Source organism: Homo sapiens, chromosome 4 (assembly GCF_000001405.40).
Source record: "Homo sapiens chromosome 4, GRCh38.p14 Primary Assembly".
NCBI classification, from domain to species: domain Eukaryota; kingdom Metazoa; phylum Chordata; class Mammalia; order Primates; family Hominidae; genus Homo; species Homo sapiens.
The window spans coordinates 161,371,011-161,391,291 of record NC_000004.12 but is presented as its reverse complement, the minus strand read 5'-3'; the positions used below and the strand labels follow the sequence as shown (position 1 = coordinate 161,391,291).

At 33.6% G+C, this 20,281-nt stretch overlaps 1 protein-coding gene across 4 annotated transcripts in view; it reads left to right on the top strand.

Moving 5' to 3' along the window:
• Positions 1-7,395, top strand: part of FSTL5 (follistatin like 5) — a 780,104-nt gene extending 772,709 nt beyond the window's left edge. For all 4 annotated transcript variants that reach the window (NM_001128428.3, NM_001128427.3, XM_011532126.1 and 1 more), the window contains one exon: positions 4,843-7,395. In NM_001128428.3, the coding sequence (NP_001121900.1) occupies positions 4,843-5,545 (703 nt within the window). In that variant the 3' untranslated portion in view covers positions 5,546-7,395. The remainder of the gene's footprint in view (positions 1-4,842) is intronic.
• Positions 7,396-20,281: the final 12,886 nt, after the last annotated feature.

The window sequence follows — 20,281 nt, the reverse complement described above, 5'->3', positions numbered from 1 at the left end:
AAAACACTAACCACTTAATCATGTGTTTTGGATTTAAGCCTTCACAAGTAAAATTCCCATAATACAAATTCCTATGGCTGTTCAAATTCTGTGGTTCTGGAATTTTTTTTCAAAGAATATGACTTTAATAATTGGGACATCGGAACAGCTTTCAAAATGCTTTTGTTTTAGATGTGAATTGCAGCACAGTTGGTTTTTATAACAGGATAGAGTGTTTGGCTAACCCATTCCTCAAATACACCTAATCACCCCTCACTACTTTTCATTTGCAACAATTAATGCGCGTGCGAAGGCTTGTTTTGAAATCTGAGGTGGTGTAGATGATGGGGTTGGAGGAGTAAGATCATGCAGGAATGGAGAGGAAGCATTTGGTCCTTTCCCAGCTGTTTGTATGGAGATTGAGCCTCAGTGGGTAAACATTGAAAGTCAGTAGTGAGAAGAACTGTTGAGATGAGAAGTTCTAAGGACTCTGGAGACAGGCAGTGCTATGTTAAGCCAGGAGATAGAATAATTGTTATTCTGCAAATCTTCCAGAGTTCTATACTTACGAGCTTTAATGTATCTGGGACCATATGAGGACATTGCTCTTGGTGGTGACCATGACAAGTTGACACAGGGAATTGCTTGCAATCATGAGATTTCTTCAGTAGCATCTCAGGTGACTAATTTGAAAAGAGAATAGGAGCATTGTAACGTGGCAAGTGCTCAGGTGACAAGGCCTGGAACCCTGTTTTATGAGACTTTGTGACCAGGGACTGAGTAAAGGACTTGGGAAACCATCCATTACTCAATTGCAAGAATTGCTGCCTGGCTTTTGGGGATGTGAAGACCTTCAAGCACTGACTCTATCAGGCTTTGTGGTTTTCAACCATGCATCCCTAAATACTGTTCTCTTCCTTCCTCGGCCAAATAACTTCCCTTACAAGTCTCCTGAATTGCTGTGACATAAATGCTGACTGCAACCTCTCCATATCCTTTGATATCCAGGTCCTAAAGTAAGCCACAAAATTTTCTGTGACTTTTAGCAAAAATTCTTGGGTAAGCCGAGGATCTATTTTAAATCCCATCATCTGTGCAGAGCTCAGGTTCACCTAGTACCCCATAGCCTACTGCTCCATGTTCTCAGTAAGTACTGAAGCAGTGCCTCTAGTGAAGGTGGAGGTAGAGTGAGCTAGACTGTCTTTATTTTTAACAATGTGAGATATTTGGTGATAAACCAATATGTGGACTGGACATAGACACTGTTGGTACAAGTGAGAGCAAGAATAAAAACATGTGTTTTTATTGTCAATGTGATCTCTCTAATATACATGAATGGAAAGTTATAGCCACACTTGGGTAACACTATTTATTTTTAACGTTGTAAGAATATTACCTGCACAGAAAAATTGATAATAAGTTTGTGGTATTTTTCTCATCCTTGGGTTATAATAATCTGTTGTCCCACAGAGAATGTTTTATGTGATTAATAATTGGAAAATAATGCTACTCATGGTGTAAAGGACTGGCAGTTTCTATTTATTGAGAATCTACTGCATGCCTGGTAGTATACATACATTTACTGTCATCCTCAGAGCAAGGTAGTACTTTTATCCTCTTCCTGCTGATGAGGAAATTGGAACTCGTGGAAGTCAAGGACTTTACATAAGGTCACATTTATGTAAGGTCTATTATTTTGAAAATCTGGATCATGAAAATAAGTTAGCTTGGAATGAAAGCCCTTACTTCATCCAAAACAAGTCTCTTCAAATGAATCATTTCAGGATCTTAGCTTAAATCATAAAAGCAGTAATTAAAGTTGAGCCTTTTTATGAACTTTATAATAAACTACTTTGATTAGACATTCAGAAAGAGAAAATGATTTGGAAAGAAGAAATAACTATAACTCTTTTCACCAAAGTTGACAATCCATACCATGCTATGCTGAGAGCCCACACTTTTCTATTGGCATTAATTTCCTAGAAAAAGCAGTAATTTTGAGAGTCAATTTTAACTCTCTTATTTCTCAGTCTGCAACTTTCTGTACACATTCTGACAAATACTAGACAAACTATGTTAGGCCTAATACTGTGCAGGATTTTATTATACTAAGCAGGCATGAAAGTTGAGAGCCTCGTAAATATTAATCAGAGACTAATGAACAGTGGGAGACTTCTGAATATCAATCTGTACTAGGGGAAATTTTGAATTAGAGACACCACTTCCTAATCAATAAATCAGCAGTGAAAAATTGCAGGCATTCTCATGCATCTGCTTATGTAGCTACATCTCCAGCCCTAAAGGAGCATACAATGCAGATGCTAAAATAGATGTAATTTTATCACCCCACAAAGATCTTCTGCATTTTTAACTGGACCATTTTTTTAAATTTTTAATTACTTCCAAAAGTAGCTAGATTGTATCACAGAAAACTTGAGTACATTCGGTAGTATCAAAGTTAAAATTGTTCAGGAGTAAAGAGAGCTTGTCTCATTCTTCCTCATTAGCATTTGAAAATCTAGCCTAAAGGGACTAGAAGACTCAAGGTTAAGAGGAGAGCTGAAATGCCAAAGCTTGATTGGCTTATTGCTTTTATTCAGTGAGCCTAGTACTGCTTTTCCTCTGAGCTCATGTACAAATTATAACAGAAGGATATTTTTCAACATAATTCATAATTTTGCAAATAATGCCAATATATTTACACACCTATACATCCTTAATGGTTGTCCATTAATAGAAAAATGTTATATGTTTGTTTATAGTAAATGGAGTTCATTAGTTTTTCAGACAAATCTGAGATTACATAGTGGTACTTATGATGTTTATGATTTTTTGATGCAGAGACACAGAAATATGGGACTCAGTTGACAGTTTGAAGCTTTTTTATTCCTTATGATTCAGATAGGATTTTAAAACTACACTATGTTTACACACAAGGCATTAATATTTTAATGAAAATATAAGTAATTATCAACAGTATGAATGTTTCTTCATACCATCATAATCAAGACTGAAATTTATCCTGAATGGGTATGGTATGAGCTGGGTTTACTGAAAGGACACAAACACATTTATTAAGGACACAGAAAAGATAAACAGTTAGCAAATAAGCTACAAGTGGTGGGCATCATTCAGAAATACACTCAAAATATTATTTTCAAATATATTGCTTTATGCCATTTCAAATACATGGAACAAGAAATAGTTACAAAATTAGGTAATAGTATAGCAGAATGCTATAATCAAGCTTTATTCACTAGCCCTGTTTCACTTTTTTATCACTCAAAATGTCTAGACTCATTGGAGACAGGGAGAGTTATGTTGATCTGCAATATATTCCCAGTGCCTTGCATTTAGTAGTTGTTTAACAAATATTTAAGAAAGTTTTATAAAGGAGTAGCTATACACTGTGAATTTTCATTCATATAGAAGAATTTGTACTCTCTCCAATGACAGCAAATAGTCTCCTCATAAATTTTAAATGTAGCTAAAATTATAATATGGTTTGTCAACTATATTTAATGTAAGAAGAATGGAAACAATTACAATTTTATGTCTATTTTCGTAAAACATCTGTGTGTAGGCACTCCCTTTCTTCTGCAATTGCAAAACGGGACTGATTTTGAGAATATTTTATTTTTCTATGATATTTAATATATGTTTATTTATATTTTTGAGCTTGCTAAATGCTGACATTTAAAATTTTAAAGAGATATTACTCTGATTGCACCATATTTTGTACTATGTGTAGAAATGGTCATTTTTTACATAAATAAAACTACATGTCATAATTATGTGTGATAATTAGCATAAAGATAATTACACAGGTGATGATAACATAATTGGCTCTCTTTAGAGTTTTTGTTTTGCTTTATCTTAATACTCATAATAAGGTAATTTCATTGTATTACTTATGAACACAGTGAATGGAAAAATATTTCTCTTATTTTTATTATGAGCTTTTAGAACTATTAGAAGGTGACAATCAATATTGTTAATGCAAACATAAATAAAAGTCCTTTACAATTCTATTGGCCAATATCTACTTTGGATATAATTTTGTTTAATTTTGTTTAATAGTTTCTATCTCATTGTATCTTGTTTAACTTATTTTTGCTAGAAAGTTGCTTGTGTTCTAGGTGAGTTTAAAAATATATTTATACTTGCCACAGGTATCTCTGATAATTCTCAAGCAATATTTAGCAAATATGCTTTGAAAAGTTCTGAACTAATTTAAGGTCAACAAAACAAACAAACAATTGTTTAATTGGCTTTAATATAAAAATAAAGTTCTTCATTATTCAGTATAGGATAACAAATAAAATGCAGGCATATCATTAAAAATAACATATAAACATTGAAAGGTTGAAAAATGTTATACTTAAATTTATCTAAATAATGATGAGTGTCAGATTTATTTAATGGTCAAAAAACAATATAAGAAGTAAATGAAATGAGTGAAACCAATATATATTCGAGCCTTTTACTCTTGCTGGGTTTGGCAATAGTTAACCAAGCTTATTTAATATTACATGGTCTAGAGACTTACAGAATAATGTATACTTCTTCTTTCCACTATGTTAAAAGCAAAATTTGTTGCTGCAATTAACTAGATGTATTGCTTTTAATTATTTTTCTTTCTACAGCATGAGTTATGATGATTTGGATGTAATGAAAGAATGACCTAGAGAAAGAAGGAGAGTGGCACAATCTACAGATTAATTCTAGCACAATTGTAACACAAATTGCTGCCTCGCCTGACAATTAGAGCCTGCGATGGACCTTTCCACCTGTATCTAGTTTTTTTCTTACGGCTAAAAACTCCATTGCTTCCTGTCTAACTCTGATTTTCATTTTTTTCAGGTTTGGATTTATTCTTCATAAAGATGAAGCTGCACTACAAAAAATTGATCTTGAAACCATGTCATACATCAAGACAATTAACTTGAAGGACTATAAGTGCGTTCCTCAGTCATTGGCATATACACACTTGGGAGGCTACTACTTCATTGGCTGCAAACCTGACAGCACCGGAGCAGTTTCCCCACAGGTCATGGTGGACGGTGTAACTGACTCAGTCATTGGGTTCAATAGTGATGTGACGGGCACTCCATATGTCTCTCCAGATGGCCACTACCTTGTCAGCATTAATGATGTGAAAGGTCTTGTAAGGGTTCAGTACATTACCATCAGAGGAGAAATACAGGAGGCTTTTGATATTTACACAAATCTGCACATATCTGATCTGGCATTTCAACCATCCTTTACTGAAGCCCACCAATATAACATCTACGGTAGTTCAAGCACACAAACTGATGTGCTCTTTGTGGAGCTCTCTTCTGGGAAGGTCAAGATGATAAAGAGTCTCAAGGAACCACTCAAGGCAGAAGAATGGCCTTGGAACCGGAAAAACAGGCAAATCCAGGACAGTGGCTTGTTTGGTCAATACCTGATGACACCTTCCAAGGACTCTCTCTTCATCCTAGATGGACGACTCAATAAATTAAACTGTGAGATCACTGAAGTTGAAAAAGGAAATACAGTCATTTGGGTTGGAGATGCCTAAAAACCCTACGATACAATTATTGAATGAAGCGTTTTACAATACATTGCACTTAATCCATTGTTTAAATTTACAACTTAACTTTCCAAGTTTATATCCTAGTCAAACAAAATTTACTTGGTTGGTCCAAATAAAATAAATTGTTTTTGACTAAGTGACTAAGACATACACAATTAATTATATTGGTTAATTAGAAATACTCAGCACAATATTTAATGAGAAATCACATCAGTCACAAGAATCAAATATGTAAATTATGCTTTAAACAATAAAGTAGGATTTAAATCATTTAAAAAACTAAACTGCAGGGAATTTCAGATGACATAAAGCATTATTTCATTTTGAGGGTAGTTTATTTTTTTTCTCTGTCCTTTTGGTATGATTAAACAAGAAATAAAAGGTGTTGTGGAAACTTAAAATTCTTAATTCAAAATATTCGGTCCTGTCCACTGTTTATAATATTTTGTGCCTTGAAGGGAATGTCACAGGAGGAAAAGGAAGACTAAAGCCTGCATACTAAATGCTCTCATAACTATAAATCTCTTGTTGTTAAAAAACATCTCTTGCACCAAATCCTGTCTTCAGTCTTTTGTTTAACCCTCAATGAACTACCAATTGAAGGCATAAGTTGGTCTTAGGTTGTATACAGGTGTCAAACTCCACTTGACATTTACTGTATAATCTGCAGCATGCTATAGAAAGTGGGGAGGAAGGGAGGAAAAATAATTACAGTCAAAATATTTGCAATCTATCTACTCATTTTGCTTTCAATCACTAGAGTGCATTATGTTTTTAATGCAAGTTTGTCTGGGATGTCAACTGCCTACAGATGTTTATTACTAGCAGAATAGATTATTTATTAATAGATTGTTTCTTTTCATATAGTCCAATGTTTCATCATCAGGAACTTTCGGTTTTAAAAAAGAAACATTACTTTTGTCTGCTAAAGTAAACCATATATAGGGAAATTAACACCTAGGAAAAGAAAACTGGCAAGAGAATTGATGAGGTATTAGTGGCTTAGAAGAATTAGTAATATAAGTTGGGAATAAAGGGGTAGCCCGACAGTGGTAAGTAAAAATGTAGTACTCCATTGTTTTTGCTATTTAAATATAATGTATCAAAAACCTTTATTCTAAAATTTCCACAAATGATTCCTTTTATCCATCTTCTTGTAATCCTAAAAGCATCTTCTCACTATGTGCTGTAGTTTGAAACCTAACGAATCCTCCTACTTGAGACACTGTAGAAAAGTAAAAATTGTTGCTTCTGTTTTGTTTTAAGAGGAAATGAGAAGGCCAGCAGAAGTAGATTAAAACTAGAGAGCTGGTTTATTAAAATAAGCAGATAATTATCCAGGCTTAAAGTAATAGCTTACATGTTTTGAAAATCCTTGTACTTATTTTTGTTTTTATTGTTGCAAAAAAATGTTAATGGGCTGTTGAAATGACCTCCATTTACTTAAGGTAATCCAATAAGGTCTTTTTTAAATATACAAATTTTACTCAAGTTTAAATTGTATAAAACTGCTTAGAAACCTGAAATTTTATAGTGTGTAATATCTTATGTGTATATAGCATCCTGAGCTGTGTGATACAGTAGATTTCTTCTTAGCAGAAACATGCGAGGTAGATTTAATAAACAACAAAAATCAGCTTATGTTTCTACTTATTGAATCTGCTTTACTTTTTAGCAATTTTCTTCCTTGTGAACATGAACCATATAAAGTGTCTGTGACTTAATGATTTCATGTAAGTCTGTCGCATACATCCTTCTTTTGTAGCTTACACCATGTGGATGCTCTGTCTGTAGACACTGCTTGATAAAAGGAGAATAAACCTCTTACATTTTAACCCTTGAGAGTTCAGTCAATGATTTAATATGCATACCGTTTTTAAAAAATTTCTCCCAATGCTTCAGATATAGTGTGATGCTCTGCATTATTCTGAAAGTGATGAGATCAGGTGAAGGTAAAGTAAACTGAGATCAATCAAGGAAAGAGAAGTTAGTCTGTCTTTTAATATAAAATCTAAATTGGATATCCTTTGATTATTCAGTGTTTACAGCAAGGCATATATTCTTTACATGATGTCTATTTCTATAGAATCCCTTCTTTTCTTGTGTATTCAATGAAAATATAGCACTGGAATATCAAAATTATACTCAAAAAAGTAGGCTTTTCTTTCCATGATCTTATAGCATTAATCATACAAATATTGAGTCACTTTTTAAAAACATTCTGATTGTTAAAATACTGATATTTGTGAGCTTTAAAAAAATCAGATGAATATTTATGTTACAATTATATTTGAAGTAGATATTTCTTCAAAAACAGGGTAAAAGGTTGAGTAAGAAATAACATACAGGGAATCAGTATGACCCTATGCACACCCTGATTGAAGTGTACTGTAAATACTCATATTAGCAATAATGTGAGTGTGTGTAAAAAGTGAAAGTGAAGAAAAACTAGGATAAAATGATGAGTAAACTGCTTTAAAAAGAAGCTATAACCCCAAAGAGTAGATTTTTTTGTTCGTTTGTTTTTGTTTTTTTGAGACGGAGTCTCACTCTGTCAACAGGCTGGAGTGCAGTGGTGCAATCTCGGCTCACTGCAACCTCCACCTCTCGGGTTCAAGTGATTCTCCTGCCTCAGCCTCCCGAGTAGCTGGGATTATAGGTGCTCACCACCACACCTGACTAATTTTTGAATTTTTTGTAGAGACAGGGTTTCACCATGTTGGCCAGGATGGTCTTGGTCTCTTGACCTCGTGATCCAACAGCCTCGGCCTCCCAAAGTGCTGGGATTGCAGTGAGCCACCGTGCCCGGCCCCAAAGAGTAGATTGTTAACAGACAGAAAAACAAAATGAAATTATAGCAATGACAGGCACGGAATGAGTAAAGGTATGAAAGCAAGTATGGAAATACGATGTGGGGAGGTCATTGAGCAAAACTGAAAGAAAGAAGTAAATGATTGAATTTAAAATTGTTGATATAGGTAAGACAAGAAAGTAGGTCATAAATAGTTTTTAAAGGAGAGAGGTGAAAATTGAAATTAGTTTAAAAACTTGGAATTAATCCAGGCAATAGGGACCTAACTATAATCTGTCACTGCTTCTGTAGATACTGAATAACGAATTTCCAAAAAGAGAAATGATAGTGAAAACGATATTTTTAAAATTTATGATCTTTTTAGTGGAATGAAAATTTAACCAAAGAATAGGGAAATTGGGGGAAATTGAATTACTTAGATAACTTTTGTAAAAATGTGAGTTTATGACCTTTAATGCACGACAATTAAATTGAAAACATATTTTAAAAAATAAGACTTGTTAAGGAACCATACCTGGAGTGGCAATTGAATAAATATGGATAATAAAAGGGACAAAAATGATAAGACTAAAATATGACACCATTGATAGAAGTAAGAAAGCCTTGAAGGAGCACTAAATTGGAGTGACAGAATGAAGACATGGATAAGGGACAAACTAAATGGAAATATAGGGCAATGGATATACTCCCAAGGAAGTGCCATCATATACAGCAAATAATGTAATTTTTAGGGGTCATTCTACCTTCTGGCTAATTATATCCATGTAAAATTGAAGCACTTAAAATATTTGTGATTTAGGGCCTAATAACCTTTCTGATTCCCACTCAAAAGGTATTCACAGAATTTTATTTTATGAAATAAACTAATTCAGTTGAATTTTACTAATCAGGATATTTACATGATAAAACAATATGTTTAATACTATCAGACAAATTATTATATTGTGTAAATATTTGAAGACAGAAACAAGAACAATATTGATATTCAGGAAAACATCTTTGTATGATGTTTTCACTATTTATGGAAACCAATAAAATGAAATAAAAATGTACAACCCAATGTTGCAATTTTAAGAACTCTTAAGGGGCCCTTCTATTTTCACTTGCTACATTTAGCATGTTCCTTTATGAATGGGCAAAGAGAACAAAGGAAGCACCTACCAAATATCTATGTTTACGTTTCTTTCAATCACAGTCTAATACCATTTACTTCTCCTGAGAAACTTCAGAGGCAGAAATGTATTCTGAAATTCATGCCATAGAAATTCTCATCTGCTGTCTTAAGTCATGGTAAATTTTCCCATCTTTCTAGGAGACTAAATCTTCACCATATGAGCATAGCTTTTTGTTTGTTTGCCTTTATAAATTGCATAGTCCTGTTAGTAAATGGAAAAGCACTTAGCTTTTCAGTAATATTCAGCAGCAAAATGAACCTGTCTCTGTGGTATTTAGTGGATACTGCACAGCTATTTTACAGTAATTTACAGCTACAGTTGGTGACGTGGAAAAGTTTTAACAGTTGTTCTTTTATACTAGAGTTTACCAATAATAAAATTCTCTATTTTGGGACTTGTTTTCAGGGCTGTAATTAAGTTTGGCTGAAATTGACAAAGAACACACCAAAATACCAAACATACTCTGTTTTGATGTTTTGTAAATGTATTGAAAGACTGTCTCTAAATACACATTTTCCTCCTTTTTAGAAGAAGAATCAAAATCACCTCAGTGTCAAAAGAATATTGATATTTCAATGGGAAAAATGTCCACCTTAAGTGGGCAAATTACTCAGTTATTCAAATATTTGATAATTATTCAAATATTCATTATTCAAGATACTTTTTGCATTTCTATTAAAATGAACAGTGTTATTTTACACCTGGACCCATAAACTTGTTCAAAGTTACATAGTCCAAGTAAAATATCTCATGATAATCAAGGCAGATAGGTGAGAAAATATAGCTCTTTAAAAATGGTTAAATATGGCCAGGCGTAGTGGCTCACGCCTGTATTTCCAGCACTTTGGGAGGCCGAGGCAGGCAGATCATGAGGTCAAGAGATCAAGACCATCCTGCCCAACATGGTGAAACCCCCGTCTCTACTAAAAATACAAAAATTAGCTGGTCACGGTGGCCCATGCCTGTAATCCCAGCTACTCGGGAGGCTGAGTCAGGAGAATCGTTTGAACTCGGAAGGCGGAGGTTGCAGTGAGCCGAGATTGCACCACTGCACTCCAGCCTAGTGACAGAGCGAGACTCTCTCTCAAAAGAAAAAAAAAAAGGTTAAATACTGAATACTCTGCTATGACTCTGCTCATCCACCTGCTTTTAAACTACTTCTGCTGTTCAGTTTCTGTCCTTTCAGAACTATTAACAAAGACTAGCCAAAAAATCAACATTTGACCTTATAAAGTATAAATTATCATTCTCTCTTTATTAATAAACATTATCTTCAAACATTAATTATTCTGTAGGGTAATTAAGTTGAGCAAGAGTGAATATTTTGATAAGTTACTAACACATAGCATGTTAATTTTATAGCGTTTTTAAAAGTTGCTTGCTGATAGAAATATCATTTTTAATTCGTCTATTTCGGTGCAAATCTGCCATATGACATGCAGTTTTCCACTTTAAAGCAAGTAAATACCTCACTGAGTGTGTGTGTGTGTGTGTGTGTGTGTGTGTGTGTTTTAATTTGAGCATACAAAAGTGAAAATACATCTAGGGACATTGGAGGATGAAGTTTGAATATTCAAACATATCCCATTAGTATTTTGGAATGCCTATTAAATCTAGAACCATGATAGTGAGTTACATAAAAATTATTATAATATAGGATTCCTGTATAAATTTGCCGAATATGCCTATGGATCACAGAATCTCATATCTCTCATAGCATCCAAATAGATAAAAATATAGACTACCAAGATGTAAGCAGAAATCAAAGAAACACAAAGTCAGTGGACCTTCACTCTGGAGACGCTACAAGATCAAGTAAATTAGGATGTTTACCTATATACAGACTTTCAATAATGTAATACTAAGCTCTAATAAATAAATATACATATACCTACACATGTATACGCATTAAAATCGCTTCCGTGATATATTTCACGATTACTAAAATATATTTTAAATCAATTACAGACACAAATTCAATAAAGGGAAACTAGAAATCAGTCTCAATTCATTGGAATAAACTGAGAAAAATTTCAATTACTTAACAAATAATATATATGTGAACAAATATATAAGCATGTATATGTAAAAAATATTCACAAATAGCCCTTTCAAGATGAAACCAAATTGAGATCTGTACAATCTGCAGATTCTCTAAATAACGAAAGTGCTAACATTATTCTGCAAAAATAATATGAAAATCCTTACATTGCTTAGAAAGAACAAAGCTGCAAAGAAAGCCATCCCCTCCCCCATACACACACACTGTAGCAGAAAAAGCTGGAAAATCCACAAAATCATATTGTTACTTGAGCCTCATAGACAGCTGGGGTTAGAAGTTCACCAAGTAAACTAATTTCCAATGAGGGACAAGGAATAATTTCACCTTGGCACAGCACAAGAGAAAGAAGTGGCCTACATAAATGTATGTAAAATAAAATCAGCTAACATTTTAAAAACTTCTTCACGGGAATGTCTAGGCTAGCTTATCAGTTTGGAAAGACTAGGGGCCTCAGACACAAGAAGAGTTTATACTCACAAAATGTTTTCCACAGATCTTCACCATGTGCTCAGAAAAGTCAGGATGGGAGACCAGAAATGGCTAGCTTCATTGGTAGTTTGGTGTGCAAGTGGGGATCAGCTGCTTTGGGGAGATGGGTCTTGTCCCCTTGCCCTTACTCTTCTGTCCGGAGAAGCAAAAATGTTAGGTAGCTAATGTAGGGGCAGTCATCCGTCTCACCCCCAGGGAACAGGCAAGGTTCCATTGCTTCTAGGAGGAGTAAAAGCAAAACCTGTTGCCTCTGAGGAGGTGATGGCAAATACTCTCATCTTCATCGAGAAAACACACATCAATATATTGCTGCCAAATGAGAGTAAGACTCTCACTACTGTGGGAGGGGCAGTGAACCATTTCTAGTGAAATGTGAGAAAAAGTACAGCACTTAACTTTTAAAGAGATACACTTTAGTAACACTTTTTTTTTATTAAGTCTAATTTGTCTGACATTACCAGAGCTACTCCAGCTTTCTTACAGAAACTTTTTGCATAATTTTTTCTCCTTCCTTTATTATCTATTTGAATTTTTCAATCTGAAATTTGTCTCCCTTAAACACCATATATTTGGATATCTCTATACTCTCATCAGACTATATCTGTATTTTGATTGGATTGTTTACCCCATTCACATTAAATGTATTATTGCTATAGTTGGATTTAAATCTTCTACGCTATTTTTTATAGGTATCCTGTTTTTCTATCCCTCATTTACTGCTTTCTTTGGAATTAAGTGAATATTTCCTGGGGTAATATTTCAATTCCTTTAATGATATTTTCACTTTTTAAAAATTGTTTTTGTAGTTGTTGCTCTGGGGCTTACCATATAAATCTTAACTGATCAGAATGAACTTCAGATTTATACTAACTAACTTCTAGGGAGATACAGAAATTTCAGTCCTATGTAACTTTCACTACTGTTTCCTTATTTTGTGCTATTTTTGTTATATTCCAAAAATGCCTAATCCTAATTATTACTTCATATAATATTTTGTTTTTTAAAAATGAGAAAAAAGGAGAAATACATATATTTATTGTTACAAAAATGTTCTTATTTACTATTTATCTTTGTCTTTATAGGTTTCTGTGGATTTAATGCTTTTTCTCATTGCAATACAAGGACCTCCTTTTTGCTTTCATTGTCAAATATATAATTTTGTGGTAGGTCTGCAATAAAATACACATTTTAAAACAAATTATTTTATTTCAGTTAAAAAGAGGGAAAGAGAAGATATAAGCATTTATAATGTCTTCTTAATTGCATAATTATCATTGTTGGTACTTTGTGTGCACCTGTGTGTGTGTGTGTGTACGTGTGTGTGTGTATTCACATTTTTCCTATGGTCACTAAAGAAATTTGTTTAGCATTCTTATGAAGTGGATTTGCTACCAAGAAATTCTCTCAATTTTTGTTTTTCTGGTAAGGTATTCATTTCACCTTCATCTACAAAAGATGAAGTTTCCAGACGTTAGATTGTTGATTGCATTTTTTTGTTTTACCAATTAGAATATGTCATCCCATTACCTATTAGACGTCATTGTTTTTGATGATAATATGCTAGAATTCTTACTGAGATTCCCATAAATGTGACGTGTGGATATCTTGCTACTTTCAAAATTGTCTATTTGGCAGGGCGTGGTATCTCACGCCTATAAACCCAGCATTTTGGGAGGCCAAGGCGGGTGGATCATTTTAAGTCAGGAGTTTGAGACCAGCCTGGCCAACATAGAGAAACCCTGTCTCTATTAAAAATAAAAAAAATAGCCGGGTGGTAGTGACATGTGCCTGTAATCCCAGCTACTTGGAAGCTGAGGCAGGAGAACTGCTTGAGCCTGGGAGGTGGAGGTTGCCAGTGAGCCGAGATTGTGCCACTGCACTCCAGCCTGGGCAACCAAATGAGATCCTATCTCAAAAAAAAAAAGTCTATTTGTTTTTGTCTTTTAATATTTTTACTATGACATGTCTGGATTTTGATCCTTCTAGTTTATGTAACTGGGGATCACTGAGCATTTTCAATGTTTAGAATATTATTTTTTAAGTTTGGGGAGTGGTCAGCCATTATAATTTTTAATACATTTTCTGTTCCTTTCCCTTTCATTTCTTCCTCTTCTATGGTAATTAATTATATGTATGGTAGTATAATTAGCAGTATCCCACATTTCTCTGAAGCTTATTGCATTTTAAAAATAATTATTTCTTTTGGATTTTAGATTTTTTATCCATCTACCTTCAAGGGCATTGATTTTGTCTTCTAGCAGTTCAAATCTTCTGTTGAACAACTCCAGGAAAAATTTTTTCTTCTTTATTATGACTTGAAAACCCAGGATTATGTTTGTTTCTTTATATCAATTCTACCTTTTTACAGATATTATATTTTTGATAAGCCATTGACCTCTCATCTTCCTTTAGTCTTTAAACAATTTCAGTTAATTCTTTGAACACATTTATAATGGTTTCTTTGAAGCCTTTGCCTATTAAATGTAACAACTGGACCCTCTAATAGGTTGTTTGGGGTGCATGATTTTTTACCCTGTATGGGACACATTTTTTGGTTTCTTTGCATGTATCATATTTTTTGTTAAAATCAGGTCATTTTGGATAAGACATTGTGGCAACTCTGAATATTCTCTCTCCCTAGTCCTTTTGTTATTATTGCATTCCTGTTTATTTGTTTAGTGACTTAGCTGGACTACTGTAGTGAAATATGAATCCCACATATTGTGAAACTTTGATATCACACCTCAGTGAGTACAGCACTGGACATGTGTGTAATAATCCTGGGATGACATTACTTTTAGAAGGGCTTTCTTTGACTATCAGTTTGCCTGATCTTTCTGTTAACCTGTCTGCCTCTTTCACATTACACCCACCTGTTTGTCTAATTGCTGACTGAATTTGTTATTGGTTTCAAGAATTTTACTGTTATCCCAGATGTTATTATTATCTGGGAAACTAGTTTCTCCACAGTATGCTCCAGTTAAATTCAGACTCCTTTGCAGATATCGTTTTGGTCTCTGCCTTACAGATTTGTTCTGACCTTGCTTTATTTTGCTGTCTCTTTTTCTGCTCATCTCTGGCAAATTGGCTGCCCTAAGATTAAACTTCTTGCCCACATAGAGCTACCAGCTTATTTTCACTTGACTACCACCAAAATATCTACTGTTTTAAAGAGATCATCGTAGGCTTGAATTTCTTCACCTTCTGTTTCAAATAAGAGTTGTTATAAGAATAATCTGAGTTAACTCAGTGTTTTTATAAAAATAATCTCTTGATTTTTTTTTCTTATGACTTACTTCCCCCTCTGTTATTATTATCTGCAAAATATCTTGGCCACAGCTCTTAAGCTGGTAGTGAAGATCGTTGCCCTCTACTCTTGAAGTGACGCCCTAGTTTTACGAGTAGGACAAGGTAGGAGACGGGAAGTCCCCATTTTTCTGGGCCTACTTCTCTGATTATAAAACCCTCTTAACATTGTCTGGGCTGGGCGCATTGGCTCATGCCTGTAATCCCAGCACTTTGGCAGTCCGAGGTGGGCGGATCACCTGAGACCAGGAGTGGATCACGAGATGAGCCTGACCAACACGGTGAAACCCTGTCTCTACTAAAAATAAAAAATAAAATAAAAAATAAAAAAAAAAACAGCTGGGCTTGGTTGCAGGCACCTGTAATCCCAGCTACTACAGAGGCTGAGGCAGGATAATCGCTTGAACCCAGGAAGCGGTGGTTGTAGTGAGTCGAGATCACACCACTGCACTCCAGCATGGGCGACAGAGCAGGACTCCATCTCAAAACAAAACAAAACAAAACAAAAAAAACTCTACATGGAACTATATGGTGTAGCATCCCGTTAGCTCTCCAAACACCTGATCATCTTTCTTGCACCTTTCTCCCTCACTCATTTCTTTGCAGTCATATAACTTCCCTTCTCTTCTCTTAAAGGAACATACATACTCCTGACTTGGGCTTTTATATTTGCTGTTTCTTCCACTGCAAATACACATTCCCCAGATATCCTCATGAATGGTCTCTTTACCTTCTTCAAGTGTCTGCTTCCCAGGGAGAGTTCCTATTACCTTATGCAAAATTGGAAATCACCTTCCACAAAATCCAAAATATGCCTATTCAACCGTGCTGCTTATTCATTTCCATATTTTATAGACACTTAACATGTTATAGGTTTAATTTTGTTTATTACCTACATCACCCCATTCAACACATACAAATAATGCAATTTAATAAGAAGAGATGTTTGTCTGTTTCATTTATACCACATCCAGAACAAGGCTCTGTATGTAGGAGGTACACATTAGGCAGTCACTAAATATATGAGAGATGATTGAATTACTATTTTTTCAACTCTTGCCCTCTTTTTTTTGTCCTCTATGTTTAACTTTTTGAGATTCTCAAATCATGGCAAATTGCATGCCTTGAATGTTATTAAACTGTGATAATTAAAAGTAGAAACATTCAGGCAGGTGTTTTCTATTTAATATTCCCTAATTCTCTAATGTATTAGAGCTAATAGACACATAATGAATATTTGAATAGATGATGTCTTTTTAAAATATTTGCCATTTCAATGTAAATGTAATTGCTTATGTAAACATGATGTTTGTTATGTTAAAAATTAATCTCTTTCATATATTATTAAACTCTAAATTAATATACATAGTCTTTTAGTTATTTATAGAGGCAGCGTGTTCTTTACATATTAGTAACACAAGAAGCATGCTTATATGAAACAAAGAATGTTGTATTTATTGTAATCTACAGCAATATAGGATGATAATTCATATTTCTGTCTTGAGATTAATTCATCAAATAAGAATTATACCATTCAATGTTGAAAATAACTACAATTTTATTGAAACCTTTTTAATTGTTTGATGAATTTCTACTTCCCACACTATCTGACATGACATCTTTATCTTTGAATTATCTTACTCTAATGTATTATGCATAAACTGTACATTGCGTTATCCAATTCTATCTAATCTCTCCATCCATTATTGGCCAATTTTCTATTTTTGCTAATATTATTAGTTATAGTTATTTGGACTAAGAATCACCAACCACAAAAATCATACTGCTTTAAAGACAATTATAATGGAAAAATAAATGTATTTATTATGGTTGTAGTGCTGATGTATGTCACTTAGAATTTTTTTTTCAATTATCTCAGAAACTTTCTTAATTGAATTTTTGCTCTTTAAAACATTTATTATTTTAAAATCGTCCTAAGATTTTTGTTTATAAACCTGTTATTTTTATCCATTCTTTTAATTTGTAAAAATCAAGTGTAGCTAAGTTTACTAGTCGAAGTCTAGGAGAATTACACATAAAACAGAAGACTGTGGGAGAAGTGAGTAAAGTATGAAGGAAGGTCACTTATAGAAATTAAGGCAAGTAAATTTAAAGTTCAGAGCATACTGTTATAAAATTTTAAAATAAGCATTGTTAAAAGAATAAGATATTTCATTTTTAATAGAATGAGGTGGTAATTTGATTGATAAAAAGGTCCAATTGACAATATCAGGTACCCTGCTACTTCAGTATTAAACCAATACTAATAGTGCTACTGGAAGAACTTCTAGCAAGTTCTTCTGTGCTTTGGAGTATATTCACATCATCTTCTGCCAGAAAGATTTATTTAAATAAAAAGTAGCTTCTTCTTTGCTACTGGGTGCAAGTAGAGACTAAACGCTTGACCATGTTGGACAAACTTACTATTTTACTTAAATTGTATGTCATGAAACCAGTAGTACCTGATGTGTTGAACCATAAAACTCCATGTTCATAGCAACCCACTTTTAGAGCAGAGCATCTATGTGATTCAAGACAAATGGAAAATACTGAGACCTTGATTAACCATGCTATAGCTTACTTGAAAGCTGGAGGTTAATGAAAGGAGAGGAAATTCAAGAATACCAGTGTCTACAATCCAAGTTCAGTGTTCTGCTCTTCAAACATGAGTGTCACCCAGAGAAAAGTGGGTCACTTTCCCCATCTTTACTTCCAGAGCAGTAGCCAGGTATTTTTCCCAGGAGGACAAGCAAACTATAAGAGCAGAGTTCTCCAAAATTAGCCTCAAAAGAACAGAGTGTTTGAAACAAAGTATGAGGAAATTCAAGCCTAATGGCATTCCTGAAAACTATGAAGATTTTGGTTGTAAGCAATTAAGTTAAGGCTAACAGCTCCATGACAGCAACAAGGTAAGTTGTAAGCTAAATAGTTTACCAGAGAGAATCAGGGAAAGAGACAGTTAGGAAGAGCCCTCCTGGTGTCACAATTAACCACAAACATAGGCATCAAATACTATACTTGCAGAGGGACAAGCATTTAATTTGACCAGACTGTGGAGTAATTTGTACTCCAAGGCATTGTTGAAAACAATAGCAAATTCAGTCAACTGTCAGTGGAGCCTAAAAACTGGATGTTACATTGACAGAGAGAGACAGCTTAACAGAGAATTCATGCAAAGAAATAGCTAAAGAGAGCCCTGCTAGAACCAATCTCATTTTATAATGATTATAAAAATACCAAAGGCCACACCAAGTAAGTAGTGATATTAAAGGCTTAACGGTATGGGAGGATTATATTTCACTACAATAATCTAGCTAAATCACTAAACAAGTAAACAGGCAAACAAGCCAGCAATAATAAGCTCTATTTAGGGGTATTCAAATTTTCCAAACTAAGTTATCTAACACACACTACTTTTAACAAAATAAATAAATACATTGGAAATGCAAAAAAAGCAAACAGCGGAACAGCTTGTGAGAGAGCCAAGCTGTTGCATTGAACAGCAAGGACTTCAAAGCAGTCGTCATAAATATGTTCAGGAAACTAAAGGAAAAAATGCTTAATGAAATAAAGAAAGGTATAATGACAATGTCTTATCAAAGGATAATATGAATAAAGAGATGGAACTTAAAAAGGAAAAAACTGAAATTACGAAGATTATTAAGTTGAAAAATATAGAAACTGGAAAGAAAAATTCATTAGAGAGGCTCAACAGTAGATTAACATTGACAGAAGATAGAATCAATGAACTTGAAAATTGATGTATAATGATTATTTGATGTAAAGACAAGACAGAAGAGAATAAAGGCCTAAGAACAGAGCCTAATATAAGTGTAGAACATCATTAAGCACACCAAAATGTATAAAGGGAATACAGAAAGAGAAGACAGAAGATTTTAAGAAATAAGAGCAGAAAGTTTCACAAATTTTATAGAAAATATTAACATATACAGCCAAGAAGCTCAATAAAAATAAAATAAATGCCAAGATATCCACACCCAGACATGTCACCGTAAAAATGTTAAAATCAAATGATAAAGAGGAAATCATCCTAACAGCAAGAGAGAAATGATTGTTAGTTCTACATACAGCAACAACATTAACAGTGGATGCATGATCATATACAGTGGAGTCCATAAGGTGGTGGAATCACATACTGAAAGAAAATAACTATTAACCCATAATTTTATATCCAGCAAAACTATCTTTTTAAAGGAAAGCAAAATAAGATATTCTCAGAGAAACAAAACAGAATGTATTGCTTTCAGGCTTGACAGAAAATAAATTCTAAAGGCTCTTTAGTCTAAAAGTATGGGACCTCAGAGAGTAATTTGAACGTATATTTTTAAAAAGGCTGGTAATTGTTATTATGCAATTATAAAAGACAGTATAAATATATATGCACTCTCCTTTATCACATTTAAAAAGAAATTTCACATATAACATGCTTTCAATTTTATTTTTAGTTCTATAATATAAAGAGGTGTAATATACAATAGAAAAAATAAGTTGTGTAAGCTGTATTTGGATAAAGAACTGATAACAGATCATAATTGAAAATTAACCTTTCATGACAAAAATATTTGAATTCTTCAATATGATAAACAGCATGTATGAATAACTCACGGCTAACATAATATTTAGTAGTGAATTATTTCATGCTTGAAACCTAAGATCAGGAATAACACAAGAATGTTCACGTTTGCCACTTCTATTCAACATTGTAATGAATGTTCTAGCCAAGGTAATTAGGTAGAAAAAAGAAAATACATTAAACTGTACACATCAATATTTGAACACATCAATATTTAAATTTATTTTGTATTTTCATTTTTATTTTTTAAGACATAGTCTCACTGTGTCATCCATGCTGAGTG